The sequence below is a fragment of the Homo sapiens genome, chromosome 6 (assembly GCF_000001405.40).
Source record: "Homo sapiens chromosome 6, GRCh38.p14 Primary Assembly".
NCBI classification, from domain to species: domain Eukaryota; kingdom Metazoa; phylum Chordata; class Mammalia; order Primates; family Hominidae; genus Homo; species Homo sapiens.
In genome coordinates, this window is record NC_000006.12 from 52,176,766 (window position 1) to 52,200,989 (window position 24,224).

At 39.1% G+C, this 24,224-nt stretch overlaps 1 protein-coding gene across 1 annotated transcript; it reads left to right on the plus strand.

The window, feature by feature from the left end:
* On the plus strand, positions 9,610-13,873 carry IL17A (interleukin 17A). Its single transcript, NM_002190.3, has 3 exons — positions 9,610-9,693; positions 10,838-11,040; positions 12,290-13,873. The coding sequence occupies exons 1-3, from the start codon at positions 9,667-9,669 to the stop codon at positions 12,525-12,527; spliced, it is 468 nt and encodes a 155-aa protein (NP_002181.1). The 5' UTR covers positions 9,610-9,666; the 3' UTR covers positions 12,528-13,873.

A 24,224-nucleotide genomic window follows, 5' to 3' on the forward strand; every position in this document is an offset into this window, starting at 1 on the left:
GTTTAACCCAGATAGGGCCCTGGCTCCCCATCTCTCACTTTCAGGTGTTAACCTCACTACATGTGGTTGCAATGCTCTATACAGCATATCTTACCAAAAAAAATCTAAAAACCACATAAGTTCAGCAGGATCCACATAGACGTGTATAAAGCACATAACTATTTTTAAAGGTGACAGAAAAAATGTCTACATCCAACCTTTCCAGACAGGGAGAGCATCTTTAAAAGATAATAAATAGACATGTACTATACATCTATCATTTATGTTTTGCACAATACTAAGAACTACAACTTAATAAATTTAAGTGGAGATGGACCAAAAAATTTATAGATATAGATATACACACAAAATTACACATATGGATTATACAACACACATATACTTGCACCTTATATATAAGCTATATATGTATGTATAAATAATTGAAATATAATGCAATAAATAAAATAGAAGCAATTACAACACTCAGACTGATGAGAAATAATAGAGCTCAGAGCTGGAGGCATTCTTTGCCAAGACTCAATGGTATGAAGGAAAGAAACTATGCCATCTACTACATTTTTCCTCTGTTGTGGAGAAAATTAACTTAGAGTGCACACCTTTTAGAATGTCTGCCCAGCCCACACCCCTCTTCTTTGAGAACAGGCCCCCCAGCATCCCTGTGTGTACTACACGAGCCTGTCCAACCATTGCTGATTAGACACATGACTCGAGTCAATCAGACTCTCCTGAAAATGTGGCTTGCAACTGAGAAATGCCTATCAAAAGGGACCTGAGAATGTGTGAACTTGGGAGAGCCAGAAGCATAAAGACATAGATGATAGGAATCTGCAGAGAGAGAGAAATGATACAGTTCAGGAAAGAAGGATTTTGAGAGATTAAGAAAGTAATTGCCTTGACACCTGTTAGTTTTTAGCTCTTGTTCCAGTACTTTCCTGAATCCCTGCTTTAATTCCTGCCTTTATGTCTTTGAGGCATCTTTATATGCTTATAATTGGTTTCTCATTTGTGCTTAAACTAGCTCTATTGACTTCCTATTACAGGCAAAGGAGGGAACTATATAATCTTCAAGATTCTTTAGCAAAACATATGCAATAATATAAAAACCTTATATATCCTGTAGTATGATATATATTTGAGCAAAAATCTGACTAGTATGATTTTTATCACTGTATTAATAGTAAATAATTTAGAGTGAATTTAAAATATGTTAATAGATGAAATAAATTATGGTACATACACACAACTGAATTCTAGCCAAACATTTTTAAATGATATGTACATCAGAGAGTTTTCAAAATTAGTTATTTTTTCCCTATTATCTTCTTATGCTTGGCATCAGGTTCATGGAGCAACTTAATACTGGTCAAATATTTAAAATGCTGACTACTGCAAAGTTTTTCTACAAAAACTAAATGCATAGCTAAATGCATTATGACTATAATGTCTTAGTTATTCAGAACAAATGAAGACCAATCTGTTCACAGCCATCATATAAGATTACTCTGTGATTCTCATATGTAAATTATGCTTCCTTCAACCCCCTTTTTAAGAAAAAAAAGGAAAAGAAAGTTTAATGATCTTCTAATCCAGCCAGGAAACTAAGCACAAATCCTGTTACCTCGATCTTCAGTAAAACATAGACATATATGCACCTCTCTTTGCACCTCCCTTATTTTTTATGGAAATCTCTACTTCAATGGGATTAAAAAATAAATAAATGTTGGGATTCTCATAGTCTAGACATAGGAATAGCCTAATCTAGCACTAGACAGAGAGGGGTTGTCACTAAAGCAAAGATAATGGACAAGGGTAAATGAAAGAAGTGATACCACCAAATGGATAAACCAAAGATAATTTGATAATTTTTGAGACTTCAAAATATCAGAAAGTCAGATGCAAAATAATTTTTTAATTGGCTTTCAATATCAGTGTTTTTAGTGTGCCATAGTGGAAAAACCCATAGACTTGAAAGTCAGCAATATCTGTGACAAAACAGGACCACCACCTGCCTACTGGATGACTTCAGGCCAATCACTGAAACTTGCCAAACCTTAGTTTTCTTCCCTGTATATTTGGACAATAGTATCCTAAGGAATTGTTGTAGAGATTAAATGAAATAAAAGAATGAATAATTTTTTTAAGTCTTGCTCTTTGATGCCATACTGATTGCCATATAATGACATAAATACTATACTGTAATAGTATTTATGTCATTGACCTTTGGTGCCTACCATATGGCAAACCACTTTTTTGCAAAGTCATTAGCCTTTGTCTTGTAAATATTTTTGTTGATATCTTTTTTATGACTATTGCCTCTGTAATATCATTACTTAGAAGGTTTAACAAGCTTCATAGATCTCTGTCCATTTATCTTAAGCATTAAAATAGAAATTTGGGAGCAATCAAAATATTTAACAATAGGCAACCAGTTAAACAGCCTATTTCTCATCTCTTTCTCAGGATGTTAGGTAATCAATCTGTTTCAAACACACACATACACATACACAAGCTTTAAAAAAAGGGCAAAGTGTTTAGAATATATTGTAAGATGAGAAAAAAGTTTACAAAACAGTATTATAATGTGGCCCAATTTTGTAAAAACAAAAATACATTTAGTAGAACAATACACTTAAAATGATCCCAATTTTGTAAGATAACAGAAGGTGTACCTTGAAAGCTTATTTCTAGCAACTAGGATTATGGATTAATTATGCTTGCTTTCTTTTGCATACGTGTGTATGTGTGCAAATAGATAGCTAAATAGAAAAAAAGATAGAGTCTAAAATACACACAGAATGGCAGTTCTTGGTTAAGTTTAATATAATCTGTGGTAAACCTTGAAATTCCTTAATTGTTGGTGCAGTAATATATAAATCAGGAAGGCAACTTCATAATTTGTAGCAAGGACTATTCCTTTCCAGTAACTAGAAAGCCTGTGTCTGCTATCCAGGGCCCTGGTTTCCAGGTTTCCTACCTGAGAAGCCTAATTCATTATAAGCAAATAGGCTGGTAAACTCAAAATATGAATAAAGGGACTATACTACCCTGAATGTCAGTTTCTTAAAAGCAGAGCTTTGTCTGCTTGCCCTGCTCTATCCTGAGTCCAGCACAGTGCCTGGCACGTAATAGGTGTTCAAGAAACATTTGTTTAATGAATGTCTATTTCATCTAGGACATGTGGAAGCCTGAAGATATCTCCCTACTTCCTCACAGAGTAGATATTCAAATGAGCAGATAACTAGTGTCCCTCAGACCCAATGTCTCCCTTTCCTCGAAAAGTTTTCTCTGACAGATTCTCACACACACACATTCCTGTTAATATTAACATTGAATCAATATTCACTGAGCATTTAATACATGCCAGGCCACATGTATTATTTCATTTACTACCTATAAAGCATGTTCTATTGTTATTTTCCTGTTGTAGGTACGGAAACCTAAATGTAGATGGTGTAATTTTCCCAAGGGCACACGGCTATTAAGGTGGAACTGGGGTGTGATCATGGGAATGTCTGAAGCAAAAAAATTGTCCTTAGCCAATATGCTATATAGGATCATCTATAAGCCTCAGACAAAGATTTTATCTTAAAATGTAATGATAGGAAAAACATCTACCTCAGGAATTAGCTAGCTTTTTCCTTCTGAAAATGAGACTTAGGTAATTGAGCATTTCTCCTTTTTTTTTTTTTGGCTGCCAGGAAGCTTGGAGACAAATGTAAATATGTTGGCCCTTACAGACAATAACTTTGGGTTTTCTTTTCCTAGACCTTGACTTTTGTCTCTGTTTCCACGTCCTCTGAGCTTGATTTATATTTCTACTTCTACTTTACTTTGCTGAATTTTTGCTATAATTACCTTAAATTCTCTGGAGGATTTCAGAATAAAAGAATCATTCATTTGGTATAGAGAAATACATCATTATGTGTTGATTTTTTTGTATCTCCAATTCACGAAGCTACCACCTCACCGTAGCAACCTCTATATTGCCTAAAAAAAACAATTAACAATTTGTTCCAGGTTCATATACTGTATCTTCCTTTCAAATATATTCTGTGGTTGTCTCTAAATCATATTAACTTCGAAATTGCTGAAAAGAAAATAAAGCTGATAACTTGATAGCCCAACCACAATGTGTGGTTTGGTTTTCTTGTTTAATTTTAGACCCTACTTTTCAGTGACATCCGTTCAGACTTGAAACTTCAGTCACTTGCTGACCTTAATTCTTAGAGTATCAGATGAAGTCAGCATTACCAAAGGGAAGTCCACCATAAAACAAATTTGCATGTGCCTGCTAACGTATAGGTGTATAATTCTACATGTATTGTTTGAAAAAAAAATGGAAAGTTTTCTGACCCACTTTAAATCAGTGTTTCAGTAAAAGACTAATGATAAACTCACCTAAGGAAGAGGCTTGGTTTCCATGAGGTTAGTAGTTATTACTCAAAGGAGAAATTGACATGCTCATATTATCTGCTTGATTATAGATTTTAATGTAGGGATTGGGGAAACACTGTTGATGGTTTGCAGTTGTTTTAAGTTGATGTGATATGACACATTTTCTTTCTTGCATGGCTTGGTCTCTAACACAGCTTTCAGTCATTATCTCAGTGCTTTGAGACTAGTAAAGAGGATGTGTTAAAGGCAAGCCCCATCTACTCAGGCGATAAAGGCACTACACGTTGTTTGGAAGTCACCAGACACAGAATGCCTTTCTATCAAACACTTCACATGAATAATGGCTGTTCAATGTTCTTTTGACCATACAGATTGGGTTTGTTTTTCACAGATGTCCAAACAGTTTTGTGATCTGGTTCCATCAGATGAAAACAGCCTGGTGTGCACTAGGTGGAGGAAACATCAAAAACCAATAGTAAAAAAAGAAAATTAGTCACTCAAAGGAGCTGCACAGATGGTCTTCATCCGGGCAAAATGCCTACCAAGAGTTAGAATGACCAATGGTGAGGAAACAGGACCCAAATGTTGAAAAAGGATTCTGCCTGCCATCTCTCAGCACTCACCATTAACAATGACTCTATAAAAACATCCTCATTGTTAATCATGCCTTTAATTCATCATGTCATATAAAAAGAGAATTTTCTCCAGCAGGGATTCCAGCACAGGATGAAGCCTGTACTCACCCCCAAAGTGTTCTCATCCATCAGCTCACTGTTCAGGACGGCCCTCAGGAGCACAGCCATGCGGATACAAACAAGCATTATGCTGGAGAGGAACAATGATGCTATCAGGTTGGTACCAAGACTGATACTTCCTATTTAAGAAATCATGTTAATTATATAGGTATTAAGTTCTGGTTTTTGCAAGACAACATCGGTAACCTCAGAGATGAACTTCTAGTATGTAATAGTATTGATATCTTCAAATTCAGGGTAGATGATCTAGAGCTTGATAAACTGGGTCTAAATCTGAGTCTCAATTAAATCCTGATTTTATCAACTCCCCAAGGCCTTCCAGATGGCTCTCTATTGCAAATCTTCTCCTCTCTAAACATCACGTCTTCCTTTTAAATGTCTGTTTGACATTGCTCCTTGTGTGCTGGCCCATTTGCAAAGTATCAGCCCCTACATTTAAAATCCAAGAGAATTCTCTCCAACGACTCATTTATTCTCTCTATATTAAGTGAAGATCAAGAGAGTAGTCTTGCCTGGTGATGTGCACAGCATTAATCAAAATGGCTCCAATCTTTTTGAACAGCCACCATCTTTTATTAACTTTAAGCAGAAACAATGGCATGATGCCTCCTCCTATACTGAGACCTTTGTTACTTTTATAAAATGGCTATAGAATATAAATTTAAAATATATTAATCTCTCAATGGTAACCTTACTACCTAAGCAAAAATTAAAATTTATTTATTTTATCTTTTAGCAAGCCTTAATTTTCCACCACACTGAGACAAAAGACTCAAAAATACTCTCTCCAGGACACAAAAGGAAAAATTTTTCTTTCCATCCCTTACATTATTCTCTATTGCAAGTAGAAAGAAATACTGTTTAATGGCCTAATAATTTCAAGGAGCCTTGAAAATCATTTCTCTAAATCAAGAAGGGCAGAAACATTTTACCACTATCATCCCTTCAAATGCATGTTTGTCTCCTGGAAATCTTTCCCTGTCTCCAGTTGCATACTTGCCCCCACCCATTGAAGCTCTGAACTCACAACATGCAGTTCCCCATTGCTTATGGTGATCTGTTTCAAGCCCTCAGAGAAGCAAGATTGATAAACCTGGAAGACAATCACTAACAAAATAATCATCCCTAATTTACTACTCCCATTTGTTCTTTACTATATTCATCTCCAGAAAATCATAGATGATCAAAAGATTACCTGGTGCAAAACTCATTTTATAAGACAGGAAACTAAGCCTCAAAGAGGTGAGGTACCCAAGGGCATGGGTAGTTAGTGGCAGATTCACAGTGAAAACAAAGGTGTCCTCTCATTCAGTGTTCTAGGCACTCTAATGCCCAGTCCAGCATGCACTCCACCTCAACGGTCTCGGATTGAAACCTGAGTCAGCTGGCTCTGCAGACAAATGCAGAGGAAGAGCCCTGCCCACTGTGAACACACTCTTACACTTCCAGCTGCTCCTCCAGGAGCCACAGGCTTCCAGCTCAAGCAAACGTCTGGGAAATCAGCCATACTCAAGGCTGCACACACCCAGCTCCAACCACCATGTCAAAATGATCCTTTTAACACTTCTGTGAAAACCCATTTTGTTTCCCCATTTTATTTTAAAGCATTTCAAAGCATAGCACACAGGCTGAATTACATAGGCACAGGAGGCAAGACTAGGGAAAACAGCTAGAGTCAGCTTCTCCCCCTGCAACTTCAATCAAAATAGTTCACAGTAAGCACATTCTCCCCTCCTTCTTCCTTGCCAGAAAGCAACAACAAGGAATCCTCCACTCCAGGGTGATCCTGAATAGGCTATAGCCTCATCACACTAAGTTCAAAAGGATCAGAATGCAGAGCCAAGGCACTAGACAACTCAGTAGGGTTATTGAGATGCAGGTAGGTTCTAAGAAGAATATAGAAAATTCTGAACTTCTCAAATAACATTACTCATACTGTCAATTAATCAAAATGTTGAACAGCTATTACTTACTAGACACTATGCTAAGTGCTACAAAGACCAATAAGACTACTTGTCTTCAGGTAGCTTGTAGTCTAGCAAGAAATGAGCTACAAAGAAAACAAGAAAGTCAGTATGTAAATGAATGGCATGCAATACACTAGAAATATGCATGAACAGCCCTGTATCAGAGAAGAACAAGCAACACAAAAGCAGTCTGTGAAGACCCATGTTGTATAAAGGGCCACATTAGGCACCATAGGAGTCACAAAGTTGAAGAACATACTAGCCTTGAAGGCTGACAGTAAAATCTAAACATGGAAATAAACACATATCTTACCCATAGCTTTTAAAGCCAAATGAAACACATTACAAAATGAAAGAAAAGTTACTAGAGAGGTAGGTGTAAGCTACATGTGATGGATGGAACTATTTATTTCAACTGAGGTAATCAGGCCAGACCTGTGAGATACATTTAAACAGGATTTTGAAGGACAAGTAGCATTTTGATAACCTGAGGATGGGGAAGGGCATTTCAGAAACAATACCTTAACAAAGGGTGGGTAAGCTTTGAAAGAAGGCCTGGAGAAAAATCAGGACCCCATCATCCCAGGTCCTGGAGCATGGTGGGGGGTAAGGCTAGAAAGGAAGTTGTACGAACTCAAATATTAATTCAAATGCTAAGAGGCTTACCCTTCATTCTGTATGCAAGCTAATGGCAGAAGAAAAGGCACAATTAGAGCCATGCTTTGAGAATCATTATTGAAAGCATGTCGAAGATGGTCTGAAGGAAGCAATTGGGAAAAGCAAGCATAGCTCATCCAAGTGGGTGAGAGTGTGAGTTAGAGGAAGCTTGGAAATTGGTGATGTGAGAGATGCTGCAGCTTCTGGGATTGCTGCCTGGTCGTGTGTAGAGGAGGGGCAGTAGGGCTCATTCTGAATCTTGTCTTGAAAAGCACATAGATAGTGATGCCAAAACCAGGACTACGGAAATCACTTGAAGCTGTATCCTACCTCCTCCTCCATCTGTATCTGCTTCACCTATCAAGGATATCTACTATTGCCACTAAAATTCAGGTGCTTATGGCCTCCCTCATTCATCAGCCAGGGTTTATCTGGCCAGGAAAGAGAAGCCCCTTCAGGCATTTGCAACAGAGGGAGTTTAAGTCAGAGAACTAGTCACCCTGGTAGTTGAGATTGCCATCAGCAAGAAGCTGTTACCATTTGAAGGCTGCAGGGACAAAGGGAGTGAGCAGTCCTCTGGGAGACTGAGGAAGGAAGCTCCTGGCTTCTCCCCACTTTCCACTTTCCACTTCCCACTTTTACTCATCTGTCCTCCAATTCCCTTTTGGCTGAGCCTAGCTGAAACCCAGCTGACAGGGGAGTTTGAGCAAGCAGCCTCCAGGGTCAGCCCTCTGAGTTACAGGTAGAGCAGGACAGGGAGGAATGGATCTCAGGACAAACAGGTTCAGGATCCGGCAAACTAATTTTACACTCCAGCCATTGAGTTGGAACTACTGGCCAGCCTCCCCCCGAGTTAGCATGTAGAATATGGGATACCAGCTGAGTGCCTGAGAGTTATCATTCACCTCAGTGGGGGTAGGGGCGGAGAAGGGTGACATATAGCCAGCCACATCTATATCCACTGGCCCTTCCTTGTCCTAGTCCTCTGTATTCCTGAGAAGGAACTATTCTCAAGGACCTGAGTCCAAGTTCATCTTACTTAGAGTACAGAGAAAAGAACCGCTAACTCCTTCTCTCTTTCCCCCATCATGTCTCCTCTCCTTTCTAGTTCTCATCACTCTCTACTCCCCCCTGCCCCCCTTTTCTCCATCTCCATCACCTTTGTCCAGTCTCTATCCCCATTTTCAATTCCTTCCTCAAAACACCAAGTTGCTTGGTAGCATGCAGGGTTGGAACATGCCTTTAACAGAAAATCTCGTGTCTCTTGAACCTAGTTATTTATTCCTTGAGCAGAGTAGATATTCAACAAAAGAATTGTTAAATTCAATTAAATAGGATATATCTTATTATTAAATATTTTTTTCATTTTTTGTTTACTTATATGATGGGAACTTGAGTAGTTTCCGGAATTGTCTCCACAACACCTGGCCAAGGAATCTGTGAGGAAAAGAAAGATCAAATGGAAAATCAAGGTACATGACACCAGAAGACCTACATGTTACTTCAAACTTTTTCTTCCTCATGAACCATTAAAATAGAGCATAACTCTTCTGGCAGCTGTACATATGTTCATAAATACATGATATTGACCCATAGCATAGCAGCTCTGCTCAGCTTCTAACAAGTAAGAATGAAAAGAGGACATGGTCTTTAGGAACATGAATTTCTGCCCTTCCCATTTTCCTTCAGAAGGAGAGATTCTTCTATGACCTCATTGGGGGCGGAAATTTTAACCAAAATGGTGTCACCCCTGAACCCACTGCGACACGCCACGTAAGTGACCACAGAAGGAGAAAAGCCCTATAAAAAGAGAGACGATAGCGCTACATTTTGTCCATCTCATAGCAGGCACAAACTCATCCATCCCCAGTTGATTGGAAGAAACAACGATGACTCCTGGGAAGACCTCATTGGTGGTGAGTCCTGCACTAACGTGCGATGCTCTTGCTGATTTGGACCAGATAGTATTTCTGGACCGTGGGCATGAAACGCTGGGTTCTGACTATGGAGATCCAGGAATACTGTATATGTAGGATAGGAAATGAAAGCTTTGGTAGGTATTTAAGTCATTGTGCAGCATTTTCAAGAACTGATACACAGCAGTTTGAAAGATAAGATTAAAACTGAAAGATAGCTATATTGGGGCTAAACCACACAAGAAGTGTCACATGATGCTGTGCAGTAAGAAAGAAAATTTATTGAAAGTCTGTTTTTCTGAGTACAAAGGATTTAATATAATTCTCCCACGGCATTTTTCTTTAAAATGGGTCACTATCCTTGAGATTTTGAAAGCCGTAGCAGCAACAACCTTTGTTTCCATTATCTCGTACCATATTCTCAGTACATTGAAACTATGTATTCTAACTAAACATAGGTATAACTGTGTTTTAGAATAAGTGGGGTTTATATTTTTTAAATATTTAACTTCAAGTATCTTTTTTGAAATCTGATTTTATTACAGAATCAATACATGTTAAATTTAGAACAACTGGAAAATATACCTAAGAAAACATGAAGGAGATCGAGTTTTTAGTTGGATGCCTGCCAGTAGCACCAACAGCACTTCTAGCATGAATATTGATACCACATAGATTTTCTATAGCTCTTTCTTCCAATGTGAATGTTTGACTTCACGATGAGTTTCACAGAATATGGGACTGAGAACAATGGTGCAGGAGGATATTTCTACCTAGAAAATCAAGGTTATTATTCCTTCCCAGACCTGACAATGATGCATGTGCTGATAGGCTAATGACATGCCATGACTTGACATTTTTATTAAAATTATTGCCAACCAATGGATAACATGTCTTTCCTAAGTCAAAAGGAGAATGTTGAAACTAGTTTTTTTAAAAAAATTTTAAAGCCATGGTGTTAACATTATGTTGGTCATCTACCTAGATTTTTCTCTAGCTGATCTGAAAAATGTAGTATAGATTGTCCTGGAACATTGTGTGTTCTCTATGATTAGCAATGCATCATCATCACAATTAATTTGTCAAAAAGAACCACATAGTAATCTAATCTCCAACCTCTCTCTCCTTTCCCATTCAATTCTAGTCACTGCTACTGCTGCTGAGCCTGGAGGCCATAGTGAAGGCAGGAATCACAATCCCACGAAATCCAGGATGCCCAAATTCTGAGGACAAGAACTTCCCCCGGACTGTGATGGTCAACCTGAACATCCATAACCGGAATACCAATACCAATCCCAAAAGGTCCTCAGATTACTACAACCGATCCACCTCACCTTGGAATCTCCAGTACGTAAAGCTTCCAGATAAAAATGCTATATTCTTCATCCCTCTTATGCATCAGACTGCCAGTTAAATCTCCCTGAGGATGATTTTATTCATTTAGAATTACCAGTCAAACCTGGAAGGACCACTGTGAAGAGCAATTCTCAAACTTTCTACAGATTTCTTTAACCAAGCACAGGACAGCCTCCAATAATCCCTATCCTGTTAGATCTAATTGTCACTGACACCAATAATCAACCCAAATTAATTATAATCATTATTCTAATATTTATGAGACCCCAAGTCTATTCTTTATTTATTCAAAGAATAGACATTTATCAAAGAGGATTAATGCTTTTATTATCTTAACCAGAGCTGCCATTGAGAAGATTTATTGCAAATAATTAATAATTAGGGTTTTTTACTTTTATTCTTTTGCTTATTTTTGTTTTTGAATCCCAGTGGAATAAGTATCACTGGGGTATTTCTACCCCTTTGTGTGTTAAATAGTCTTGATCTACTTCCTAACATACCTATGCTTGCTGTATCCTTAGTATACCCAGTATTTAGACCCCATCAAGGGTTAAATACCAAATGTATTTTGATCATTTGACTTCATACAAATAAGTCTCTGTTCTGTGGAGCCTACAGATTGGTCTGATTGTAGGATTTCTTCTCTTCTTCCCATTACTAGGAAGAGTCAAAATAAATCAATTCAAAAATGCAAGCAAATCATTCACTGATCTAAAAGAGAGAGGGAAGAGAAGGTCATAGAGACACTTAACCTTTTGTTTCCAGCCCTTTATCTCAGCTCTGGGCTCTGTCCCACGAATGTGATCTCAGATAAAATTTTGATGTATTCCCTCTTCAAAGACAGACTTCATCAAGTCAAATAAACAGCTATCTTATTCTAGATGGTTCCAAGTCTACTCTTCCTTTGGTCTTCTTCTGTCTGTCAAATGTACCCTAAAAAAGCTATCATTTGTGTCAAACTTAAATTTTTTCTGTGGCCTCAGTCTATCTTATTTTATTCATTCTTCAAATAAATTGGAGAAAAACTGATCACTGTCTTCTTTTCTATAACAATTCACGTGCTTGAAAAAAAAATCCAATTTGTCCCCAAAGTTCTTCTTCAAACTAACATCATTTAAAGAATTTGCAATGCCTATAATTTGTCATCCTGTGAACTTGCCTCTCTTCATGTATTCCTGTTTTATTTCTTTCCCACTTTACCAGGAATTCACTTTCCTCCTGATTTTTCTCCCCTCTGCAGCCGCAATGAGGACCCTGAGAGATATCCCTCTGTGATCTGGGAGGCAAAGTGCCGCCACTTGGGCTGCATCAACGCTGATGGGAACGTGGACTACCACATGAACTCTGTCCCCATCCAGCAAGAGATCCTGGTCCTGCGCAGGGAGCCTCCACACTGCCCCAACTCCTTCCGGCTGGAGAAGATACTGGTGTCCGTGGGCTGCACCTGTGTCACCCCGATTGTCCACCATGTGGCCTAAGAGCTCTGGGGAGCCCACACTCCCCAAAGCAGTTAGACTATGGAGAGCCGACCCAGCCCCTCAGGAACCCTCATCCTTCAAAGACAGCCTCATTTCGGACTAAACTCATTAGAGTTCTTAAGGCAGTTTGTCCAATTAAAGCTTCAGAGGTAACACTTGGCCAAGATATGAGATCTGAATTACCTTTCCCTCTTTCCAAGAAGGAAGGTTTGACTGAGTACCAATTTGCTTCTTGTTTACTTTTTTAAGGGCTTTAAGTTATTTATGTATTTAATATGCCCTGAGATAACTTTGGGGTATAAGATTCCATTTTAATGAATTACCTACTTTATTTTGTTTGTCTTTTTAAAGAAGATAAGATTCTGGGCTTGGGAATTTTATTATTTAAAAGGTAAAACCTGTATTTATTTGAGCTATTTAAGGATCTATTTATGTTTAAGTATTTAGAAAAAGGTGAAAAAGCACTATTATCAGTTCTGCCTAGGTAAATGTAAGATAGAATTAAATGGCAGTGCAAAATTTCTGAGTCTTTACAACATACGGATATAGTATTTCCTCCTCTTTGTTTTTAAAAGTTATAACATGGCTGAAAAGAAAGATTAAACCTACTTTCATATGTATTAATTTAAATTTTGCAATTTGTTGAGGTTTTACAAGAGATACAGCAAGTCTAACTCTCTGTTCCATTAAACCCTTATAATAAAATCCTTCTGTAATAATAAAGTTTCAAAAGAAAATGTTTATTTGTTCTCATTAAATGTATTTTAGCAAACTCAGCTCTTCCCTATTGGGAAGAGTTATGCAAATTCTCCTATAAGCAAAACAAAGCATGTCTTTGAGTAACAATGACCTGGAAATACCCAAAATTCCAAGTTCTCGATTTCACATGCCTTCAAGACTGAACACCGACTAAGGTTTTCATACTATTAGCCAATGCTGTAGACAGAAGCATTTTGATAGGAATAGAGCAAATAAGATAATGGCCCTGAGGAATGGCATGTCATTATTAAAGATCATATGGGGAAAATGAAACCCTCCCCAAAATACAAGAAGTTCTGGGAGGAGACATTGTCTTCAGACTACAATGTCCAGTTTCTCCCCTAGACTCAGGCTTCCTTTGGAGATTAAGGCCCCTCAGAGATCAACAGACCAACATTTTTCTCTTCCTCAAGCAACACTCCTAGGGCCTGGCTTCTGTCTGATCAAGGCACCACACAACCCAGAAAGGAGCTGATGGGGCAGAACGAACTTTAAGTATGAGAAAAGTTCAGCCCAAGTAAAATAAAAACTCAATCACATTCAATTCCAGAGTAGTTTCAAGTTTCACATCGTAACCATTTTCGCCCCCATGGCCCATGTGCTGTCTTGCCCTACTTCTGAAGGCCTCTAGATATTCTCAGGCCACTCTGCAGGCTCCCTGCTTCTTGAAAGACCTTCCTCTTCACTCCATCCTGCTCCATCCAGTGTGCTCCAGCCCACCCAGAGGCCCATGGCTTTTCTAGGCTTCTTTCCCTATTCCAAATCCAGGGGTTGGCCTCTCCAGCCACCTCCTCTCAGTCATTTTGTGCTCACATCTTGATTCCTGTGACCATCCCTGTCACCATTTTCCTACAGGAAATCCCCAGGCAGCTTCCAGGGACAGTTCCTCACAGCCTTTACGCTTTCAAGCTTCTCACTAAAAACCTGCTGCTCGTTTTCAAGCTTTCTCTGAACGGTGATGATGAAAAGAAAAAATTGTTTTTGTTTTTGTTGGGAGAGGGAGTTGTAAAGGATGTATATGTCTATATGTGTGTGTGTGTGTGTGTGTGTGGTCCTGAACCATTATTTCCCACTAGATTTTGGGTGGGGGGTATGCGGATGGGAAGAGGCAGTTGCTTTCCATGTACTCCTCCCCTGATACACTTTGCTTTTATTCTCTCTTCATTTTCCCCAGTTAGCACTACCATGTACCTAGTCATCCAAGCTAGAAATCTATGTGGCTTCCCTGAATCTTTTTCCTTCTGCCTCTCCCTCATTCCTAACATCCACATATCACCAAATACTATATTCTCACTTCCAAAAGTTCTCCAAGGAACCCCCACCTCCCCACCAATACCATACTACCCAGGTTCAGGACTGCATCTATTCTCATTTCTCTCCTCCATGATTGCTACAACCTTCCACCTGTTCTTGCTGCCATTGTTCCCTTCTCTCAATCCATCCTCCGACCTGTACCTATGACACAAATTCAAATATAACAAAAAGCGCCCCCCAGAAATCTGGCCTTGCTCCCTCTCCTGTTCTATCCCAGGGTGCCTCATCCTTGACGTTTTACCCTCGAGTCGTGGTGAAGTTGTTGCGGAGACCACCATGCTATTCTTGGCCTTGATGCCTATGCTATGTGGTCCCTTCTGCGTGAATGCCCTTGCCACCTTCCCCCTGCTATCCCTCCAGTCACACGCTGCCCTCCCCACTCTCCCCCATTTCTATGGCTCTACTCACATATTAAAACTTTCTTTAGGTCTCATCTTCTCTAAGGAGACTCCTGGACCCATCACTGCCTGTTATCCTAGATTAGGTCCCTCTCTTTCTTACGGGCTCCAAAAGCACTGTGCAGATCCTTTATCACTGACCTTACATACTATATCAGCTTTACCTATTTAGCCAGTTTGTGGTTCCTCAAGAGCAGAAACATCAGCACCTGACATGGCAGGTAGTAGACAGTCAATACTCAGCTGAACTTTGAACCAATAGTCCACAGACACCTCAAAATCAACAGAGACAAAACTAAGCTCGCTAGCTTTACTGCCAAACTGGCTCCTCCTACTGCTTTTTTATCTACTGGAATGGCATCGTCTACTCATCTGAGCAAGAAACCTAGCTTTCTCTCCATCCCTCATTCCCCTCCTCCAATCAGTGACCAACTCTTCATCAATGTCTCACATGTCCTCCCCTTCCTTGCTAACTCCAAGTTTGCTATTACAGTTGCATTATATTATGACACTAACTGGCCTCTCTGCCTTGCTTCTTATATTTAATAATTCGGTATCTCTCAAACTTGTAAGGGAGTCTAGTCAGAGTAGGTAATTAATAGCTTCTGCAACAGACAAAGTTCAAATAAACAAAGGTTTGTTTCTTGTGCATGTTACAATCCAACAGGATCATTAGGGAGCTTTGCTCTACTTGGCCACTGAGAGACCCAGGCTGACACAGAGGTTCTGACTTCTACAACACCATCTAGCACTGCAATGTCTAACACAGTAGCCACGAGGCATTTGTAACTATTGAGCGCTTGGAATGTGGCTAGTCCCAGTTGAGTTGTGTTATAAGTGTAAAATGCATACTAGATTTAAAATACTTAAGTTTTTTTAATGTAAAATATCTTTTGTTACTTTTTATATTGATAAATGTTAAAATGTATTTGGTTAAACATTAAATTTATTAAAAATTCATCTATTTCTCTTTACTTTTTTAAATGTGCTTACAATAAATATATAATTAAAATGTGGCTTAGCATTGTATTTCTGATGGACATATAACCAATGAAGGAAAAGAGAAAGCTAAAAACTACACGTTCAGCATTTAAGGGCCAGTCTTATTGACCAGGACTCAGTCACACAGACCCAAATTAAAACCAGTGGAGACTGGGAAATGAAATATTTCTATGGGTCCATGAAAAAGAAAATGAAATGGGATTTAGTGGACACATAGCATTACTTCTGCCATCACACATATGATGAATGAAGGCTCATGCATGACATCTTCCCACAGTCACATAATTCTAAATAGCTGAGCTGTTACATGGCCACTTCCTGGTGGAAGAAGGTCTAGGGTGCAAGTAACAGTGACATTATTGTAAAAATAACCTTGAATCTACACTAATTTTTTTAAAAGAACCTTTACAAACTTTGGCTATTAACACACTATAAAACAACCCACATGGGACATACCTCACAACTAACTGCTGCACACCTGTGTTTTGAAATTACACAGCAATTGTCACTCTTCCATCTCTCCCCATGTTTCAAGAGGTCCTTTCTAAAATGTAAATCTGATCACATTAATCCCCTAATTACTCCTCAGTACCTCCCCAATACCTATAAGATAAAGTACTGCCAATTCTCTTGCATGACACAGAATGTACTCTATGACCTGGCCCAGTCCACCTCTCACAGTATTCCAACCCACCATCCTCCCTCCCTGTTACCAGTATCAATGCCATGCCTAACTGGTTCTCACAATCTGGGACTTTGCTTATGCTTCCTGCTTACCTGGAATAGCCTTAGTCTTCCCATTTCTCATCATCATTAAACTGATGAAAATATCAACACTTTTTTTAAAATCAGATTAAGCAAAAAGACATCTCTGGAGATGGAATTTGAGGAACCATTCTTAACATGTTCCCCAGTTGATTTTGATGCATCCTCTCCAGCAGCCATCCATTGACCAGCCTCTGGGAACCACTGATGGAGAAGCAGCTAGAGATGCTATCTCGGAATACAGATGAAGATTAACAAAGAAATACATTGATGATAAATATGAATTGGGGCTGGGCACGGTGGCTCACACATGTAATCCCAACTCTTTGGGAGGCCAGGATGGGAGGATCACATGAGGCCAGGAGTTCAAGACCAGCCTGGCCAACATGGTGAAATGCCATCTCTACTAAAAATACAGAAATTATTTGGGCGTGGTGGTGCACATCTGTAATTCCAGGTACTTGGGAGGCTGAGGTACAAAAATCTCTTGAACCTGGGAGGCGGAGGTTGCAATGAGCTGAGATCACGCCACTGCACTCCAGCCTGGGTGATGGAGCGAGACTCCGTCTAAAAATATATATATTATATACATTATTTTTATATATAATATATGTTACATATTATACAATATATTTTATATAATATATTATATATTTTATAAATATATAATATACATTTTATGTAATATATATTTTATATAATATATAATATACTTTATATAATACATAATATGTAATACATATTGCATATTTTATATAATATATATTTTTAAATAATATATTTATATATTTTTATATATTACATATATAATTATATGTTTTATATTATATATTATTTAAATTATATATATAAATTGATCTTAGATAAAGATAGGGAACAGAGATAAAATTATGTGAAAAAAAGAAATTTCAAGTAAGAAACCTGAAAAAATTAAGGAGACAATAAGGAAAGTCTTAATGGGAAAAAAAAGATTCCTGGGTTGGAATTTAAGTGCATCTGAAAACTAGGTTTAGACAAATTAATTTTAAAAGGCTATAACCAAAACATATTCAACAATTTTTTTAATTTTAAAAATAAAGAACATAAAAGACTCATATCTGGAAGGAATATATAAAATATCTCATCAGGAACCAAAATTATATTGACATCAGACTTTTTTACATAACACTGAGAGGTAATAAAGTAAAATTTTCAAAGCACTAAAAGGGAGAAAGTAAAGATCAGGCAGCATCTGCTCAGGCAAGTCTTCCTTGACAACCCAATGAATGATAAATGTGTAATATTTTGTTGAGTTGCATACTTATGGGTTGTGCATTTTTCTGTATGTATGTAATAGCTTAAATTCTGCTTACGTTTGACTGCTAGTTTCAGATGTCAACTTGACTGGATTAAGGGATATCCAAATAGCTGGTAATATGGTTTGGCTCTGTGTCCTCACCCAAATCTCATCTCAAATTGTAAGCCCCACGTGTCGAGGGAGGGACCTGGTGAGGGGTGATTGGATCATGGGGGTGATTTCCCCCATGCTGTTCTCATGATAGTGAGTGAGTTCTCAAGAGATCTGATTGTTTAAAAGTGTCTGGCAGTTTCCCCTTCACTCTCTTTCTCTCCTGCCGCCATGTAAGATGTGGCTTGCTTCTCCTTAGCCTTCCACCATGATTGTAAGTTTCCTGAGGCCTCCCCAGCCATGCAGAACTGTGAGTCAATTCAACGTCTTTCCTATAAAAACCACCCAGTCTCACATAGTTCTTTATAGCAGCATAAGAAAAGACTAATACAGAATACAGCTGGTAAAGCATTACGTCTGAGTATGTCTGTGAATGTGTTTCCAGAAGACAGTGGCATTTAAATCATTGGACTGAGTAAGAAAGATCCACCATCATCCAATGTGGATAGGCACCATCCAATCGGCTAAGGGTGCAGATAAAACAAAAAAGCAAAAGAAAGGCAAATTTGCTCTCTCTCTCTCTCTCTCACTCTCTCTCTCTGCCTCCCTCTCTCCCTCCCTTCTGGAGCAGGGATACCCATCTTGTCCTGCCCTTGGACATCAGAACCCCATGTTCTCTGGCCTTCAGACTCCAAGGTTTGTGCCAGTGAACCTCGAGGTCTCAGCCTCACACTGAGAGTTATACCATTGGCTTTCATGGTTCTCAGGCCTTGGGACTTGGACTGAGCCATGCTTCAGGATTCTCTGGATCTTCAGCATCTCTGACAGCTTATCATGGAAGTTCTTAGCCTCCATAACCGTGTGAGCCATTTCCCCACCTCTGACTGAGAGATGAATCAAAGCTGAGAATTTAAGATGAATCAGTCATGGGCCCTCTGTGAGCACTGAAACTGGGTCTACATTGAAATATATCTAAATAATGATTATAAATTCTTTACATGAATCTTAAAGTCAAATTCTTTGCTAAAAAAGAATATCTAAATTATAGGTTAAATGATATTATTTAACCTATACAATAATATTATATAACTATACTTAAGATATTACCATCATTTAAGTCCATACTCGAGATAATAACCATCATCTAAGTCCATAATCCAAGATTCAGCAAAATAAGCAAAAAAAAATAAGGGTGGAAAGGAGTGACAGGGTAGAAATCACGAAATTCCTCTGCCTCAGTGGAGTAAAATCAAGTTATTGCTCCATTCTTGGCTTTGATAAGTAGACAATTTAAAAGTGACCTAATGTGATAAATAAGGCTAAAAATCTAAAGGTAACCATCAATATATATATATAAAACAAATTGGATTTAAAGAAACCAAATAATGCTCAAAAACCAAAACAAAAAAAACTGAAAAAAAGCACAGAAAACATAAACAAGAGACAATATGAGTAAATATTTGTAATTCTCCTATTAAAAAACAGAGTCCAGCTGGGCGCACTGGCTCACGCCTGTAATCCCAACACTTTGGGAGGCCGAGGTGGGCGGATCACCAGGCCAGGAGATAGAGACCATCCTGGCTAACAGGGTGAAACCCCGCCTCTACTAAAAATACAAAAAATTAGCCGGGCGTGGTGGTGGGCGCCTGTAGTCCCAGCTACTCAGGAGGCTGAGGCAGGAGAATGTCGTGAACCCAGGAGGCAGAGCTTGCAGTGAGCCAAGATCGCACCACCACAGTCCAGCCTGGGCAACAGAGTGAGACTCCGTCCCAAAAAAAAAAAAAAGAAGAACAGAGTCCCAAATTTAAGTACTTTTTTTTTTTTTTTTTTGAGATCGAGTCTCACTCTGTCACCCAGGCTGGATTGCTGTGGTGTGATCTTGGCTCACTGCAACCTCTGCTTCCTGTTTCAAGTGATTCTCCTGCCTCACCCTCCTGAGTAGCTGGGATTACAGGCATGCACCACCACGCCTGGCTAATCTTTTTCTTTTTTTTTTTTTTTTTTTGAGGCAGAGTCTCACACTGTCCAGGGGCTGGTGTGCATGACACAACCTCGGCTCACTGCAACCTCTGCCTCCCGGGTTCAAGCGATTCTCCTGCCTCAGCCTCCCGAGTAGCTGGGATTACAGGCACTGGTCACCACGCCTCAGCTTCCCGAATAGCTGGGACTACAGGCACTCGCCACTACACCCAGCTAATTTTTTGTATTTTTAGTAGAGACGGGGTTTCACTATGTTGGCCAGGCTGGTCTTGAACTCCCGACCTCGTGATCCGCCCACCTCGGCCTCCCAAAGTGCTGGGATTACAAGCATGAGCCACTGCGCGCAGCTAATTTTTGTATTTTTAGTAGAGATGGGGTCTCAGCATGTTGGTCAGGCTGGTCTCAAACTCCTGACTCTGTGATCCGCCCACCTCGGCCTCCCAAAGTGGTATCCTAAAAATACTGTGATATTTTTAGATTTTTAAAAAATTAAGTGCTTAGGCCGGGTGCAGTGGCTAATGCCTATAAGCCACTAAGGCTAAGAAATATCCCAATTTCTTAACTCCACAGTATTTTTAGATTTTTAAAAATTAAGAAATATCCCAATTTCTTAACTCCACACTATCCTTAAAATAACATAGAAAGTTTAAAAATAAAGGGGTAGGCAAAGAAATATATCAAGCAAATGCATACTAGCAGAAATCAAGATAACATCAATATCAGAAAACATAAATTTAGAATCATTAAATGGGAAAGAAATGTTACATCATTTTGGTAAGATTTAGATTGGTAATGAAAAAAAGTTGATAAAATTTATGCACAGGATAACTTTTAAATGTTTAAGTCAAAATATAGCAAAAAAAAGTTTTAATACAGAGACATTATTATTGTTTAACATTGTGTGGAAGTCCTGCCCAGTAATGAAACAAACATTGGAGAGAAAGACACAAAATTATGATTATTTGCAGAGAATATCATTACATACCTAGAGAAAAAAAATGAGTAAATCAAGAGGAAAACCATTAGAGAATGCTCAGAAACTGGCTAGCTACAAAATAAATATTTTTAAATCATTTGCCTGTATAGTGGTAATAACAAGTCTAAAAACATAACGCAAAAATTATCATCCATTACGGAAAAACAAAAGACTGAAATACCTGGAAATAGCCTTATTAAAATATGAGAGAGACGTATATAGAGAGAACTATGAAATAATGAATTACTTTAAATAACTTGAATAAATGGTCAGAAATACAATGTTCACAGAAGGCAAGATTACATGCACAAAAAAGAAAACAATTATTTTCTCTTTTTTTTCTTTTTTAGAGACAAGGTCTTGCTATGTTGCCAAGGCTGGCATGCAGTGGCTATTCACTTCACAATCACAGCCCATTACAGCCTAGATCTTCTGGTGTCAAGCAATCCTCCTGCCTCAGCCTCCTGAGTAGCTGGGACTACAGGCACACTCCACCATGCCAAGCTTCTAATTTGTTTCTGTGTCTAATGCAATACCAAACAAATTCTTATTGGTAAGGTTTAATGCGGTAATGTAGCAAATTTCTAAAACTCTTCTGAGAAGATTTAAATCATCAGAGACCTGTCCTCAGGGAGTGAAACAGTTTAAAGTTGGCATTTTTAAAAAATAATGAGATGTGAGAATAGAAAACTCAATGAACAAATTAAATAACTCAGAATATACCATGGGTATATACGAAGAATCTAAAATATAGTAAAAGTAAACTGTCATCACAAAATGGTATAATGAGGAATTATTTAGTGAATAGATTTGGGTTTCTTTATTGGTTAACTATTTGGAAGAGAGAGAAAATCAAAGTATAGCTGTCCATTACATCATGCATTCAAAAGAACTTCAGCTAGATTACAGAAGTGAGAGAAAAATCCTAAACTGGCAGACAGGAAGCTGAGGACCAGCCCATTTCACGCCATCAATTCTCCAAAGGCTAAGGCCCTAGCAGCACCAGGTTCTGCAGAGCAGGAGCTGAGAATACAGGGGGAAGAGGGAGATTTAGAGGGCCAGTGTGAAAGTTGTTTGAGCAACAACTCAATCCCCAACTTTTCTTCCCAGCACTCCACTGCTAGGCAAATGCTCCTCCCAATTCTACCAGAAAATTGGCAGTTTATCTCTGAAGAGGGTAAAACAGAGGGCCTTTGGATTGGGGTCTACCAGCATGGGTGAGGGTGTGGGACCACCAAAAACAGAAGGATCAAGTGGTCATATAGATTCTGAATGCCAAGGATGATCCCACCCTCAGGCCCCTTTACTCCTCAGTTTCCATAACTCTAACAAGACCTTTTCCTTCTGGCAAGAGGTTGAAGAATCTGATCATCCCTAAAGGAAGGAAAAGCCTAAATATATTTAGAGGGGGCTCCCCACAAATGGCCCACCCAGATCACCCCATAGTGAAGGTCAGAATCCCCAAATTTCCCCACACACACTGAATCCCCAAATTTCCCCACATCAGCTTTTATTTTAATCTTGAGCAGACCCCTGAGAAAATCGAACATGAAGACAGATACAAAAATAAACAAACAGAAAAGGGCATTAGGAGGCCAGGTGCAGTGGCTCATGCCTATAATCCCAGTACTTTGGGAGGCTGAGGCAGGTGGACCACCTCAGGTCAGGAGTTCAAGACCAGCCTGGCCAACATGGTGAGACCCCATCTCCACTAAAAATACAAAAATTAGCCAGCCTGGGTGGTGTGCACCTGTAATCCCAGCTACTCGGGAGGCTGAGGCAAGAGAATGCTTGAGCCTGGGAGGCAGAGGTGTAGTGAGCCAAGATTGTGCCACTGCACTCCAGCCTGGCCAACAAAGTGAGACACTGTCTCAAAAAAGAAAAAAGAAAAGAAGAGAAGAGGAAAGGAAAGGTATTGGAGGAACCAACCCCCAATATTTCAACATAGCTTCTTTTCTATTTTCCCTAAGTGTCGGCCGGTCTGAGAAATAAAGAGAAATAGTACAAAAGAGAGAAATTTTACAGCTGGGCCTCCGGGGGTGACATCACCTATTGGTAAGTTCTGTAATGCCCCTTGAGCTGCAAAACCAGCAAGTTTTTATAAGGGATTTCAAAAGGGGAGAGGGGTACAAACAGGGAGTAAGTCATAAAGATCGCATGCTTGAAAGGGCAATAAAAGATCACAGGGGCAGAGAGGCAGAGCAAGATCACAAGTCTAGGGTGAAATTAGAATTACTGATGAGGTTCCATGTCCTGCTAGGCACGCATTGTCATTGATAAACATCTTAACAGGAAACAGAGTTCGAAAGCAGACAACCGTTCTGACTAGAATTCACCAGGCTGGAATTTCCTAATCCTAGCAAGCCTGAGGGCACTGCAGGAGACCAGGGCGTATTTCATCCCTTATCTTCAACCTCATAAGACACACTCCCAGAGTGGCCATTTATAGACCTCCCCCTGGGAATGCATTCCTTTCCCAGAGTTATTCCTTGCTGGGAAAAGAATTCAGTGATATTTCTCCTATTCACTTTCTGCAAGAAGAGAAATATGACTCTATTCTGCCCGGCCCCACAGACAGTCAGACCTTATGGTTATCTCCCTTGTTCCCTGAAAATCGCTGTTATCCCGCTCTTTTTTAGGATGCCCAGATTTCATATTGTTCAAACACACATGTTTTACAAACAATTTGTACAAATAACGCAATCATCACAGGGTCCTGAGGCAACATACATCCTCAGCTTACGAAGATGACGGGATTAAGAGATTAAAGTAAAGACAAGCATAGGAAATTATAAAAGTATTAATTTGGGGAACTAATAAACGTCCATGAAATCTTCACGATTTATGTTCTTCTGCCGTGGCTTCAGCCATTCCCTCCGTTCGGGGTCCCTGACTTCCCACAACATCCTGACTTCCCACAACAGAAAGGAAAGGAGGGGAGGGGAGGGGAGAGAGGAGGGAAAAGGAAAGGGGAAGGGGAAGGGAAAGGGAAAGGGAAGGGCATTAGGAGGAAATAGAAAGTATGCAAGAAAAAAAAGCCTCAAAAATATAATTAATATCCTCAGATAGAGAAGATCCTTGAAATCAAAATAGGATACTACTTTAAAAAGGGAAAT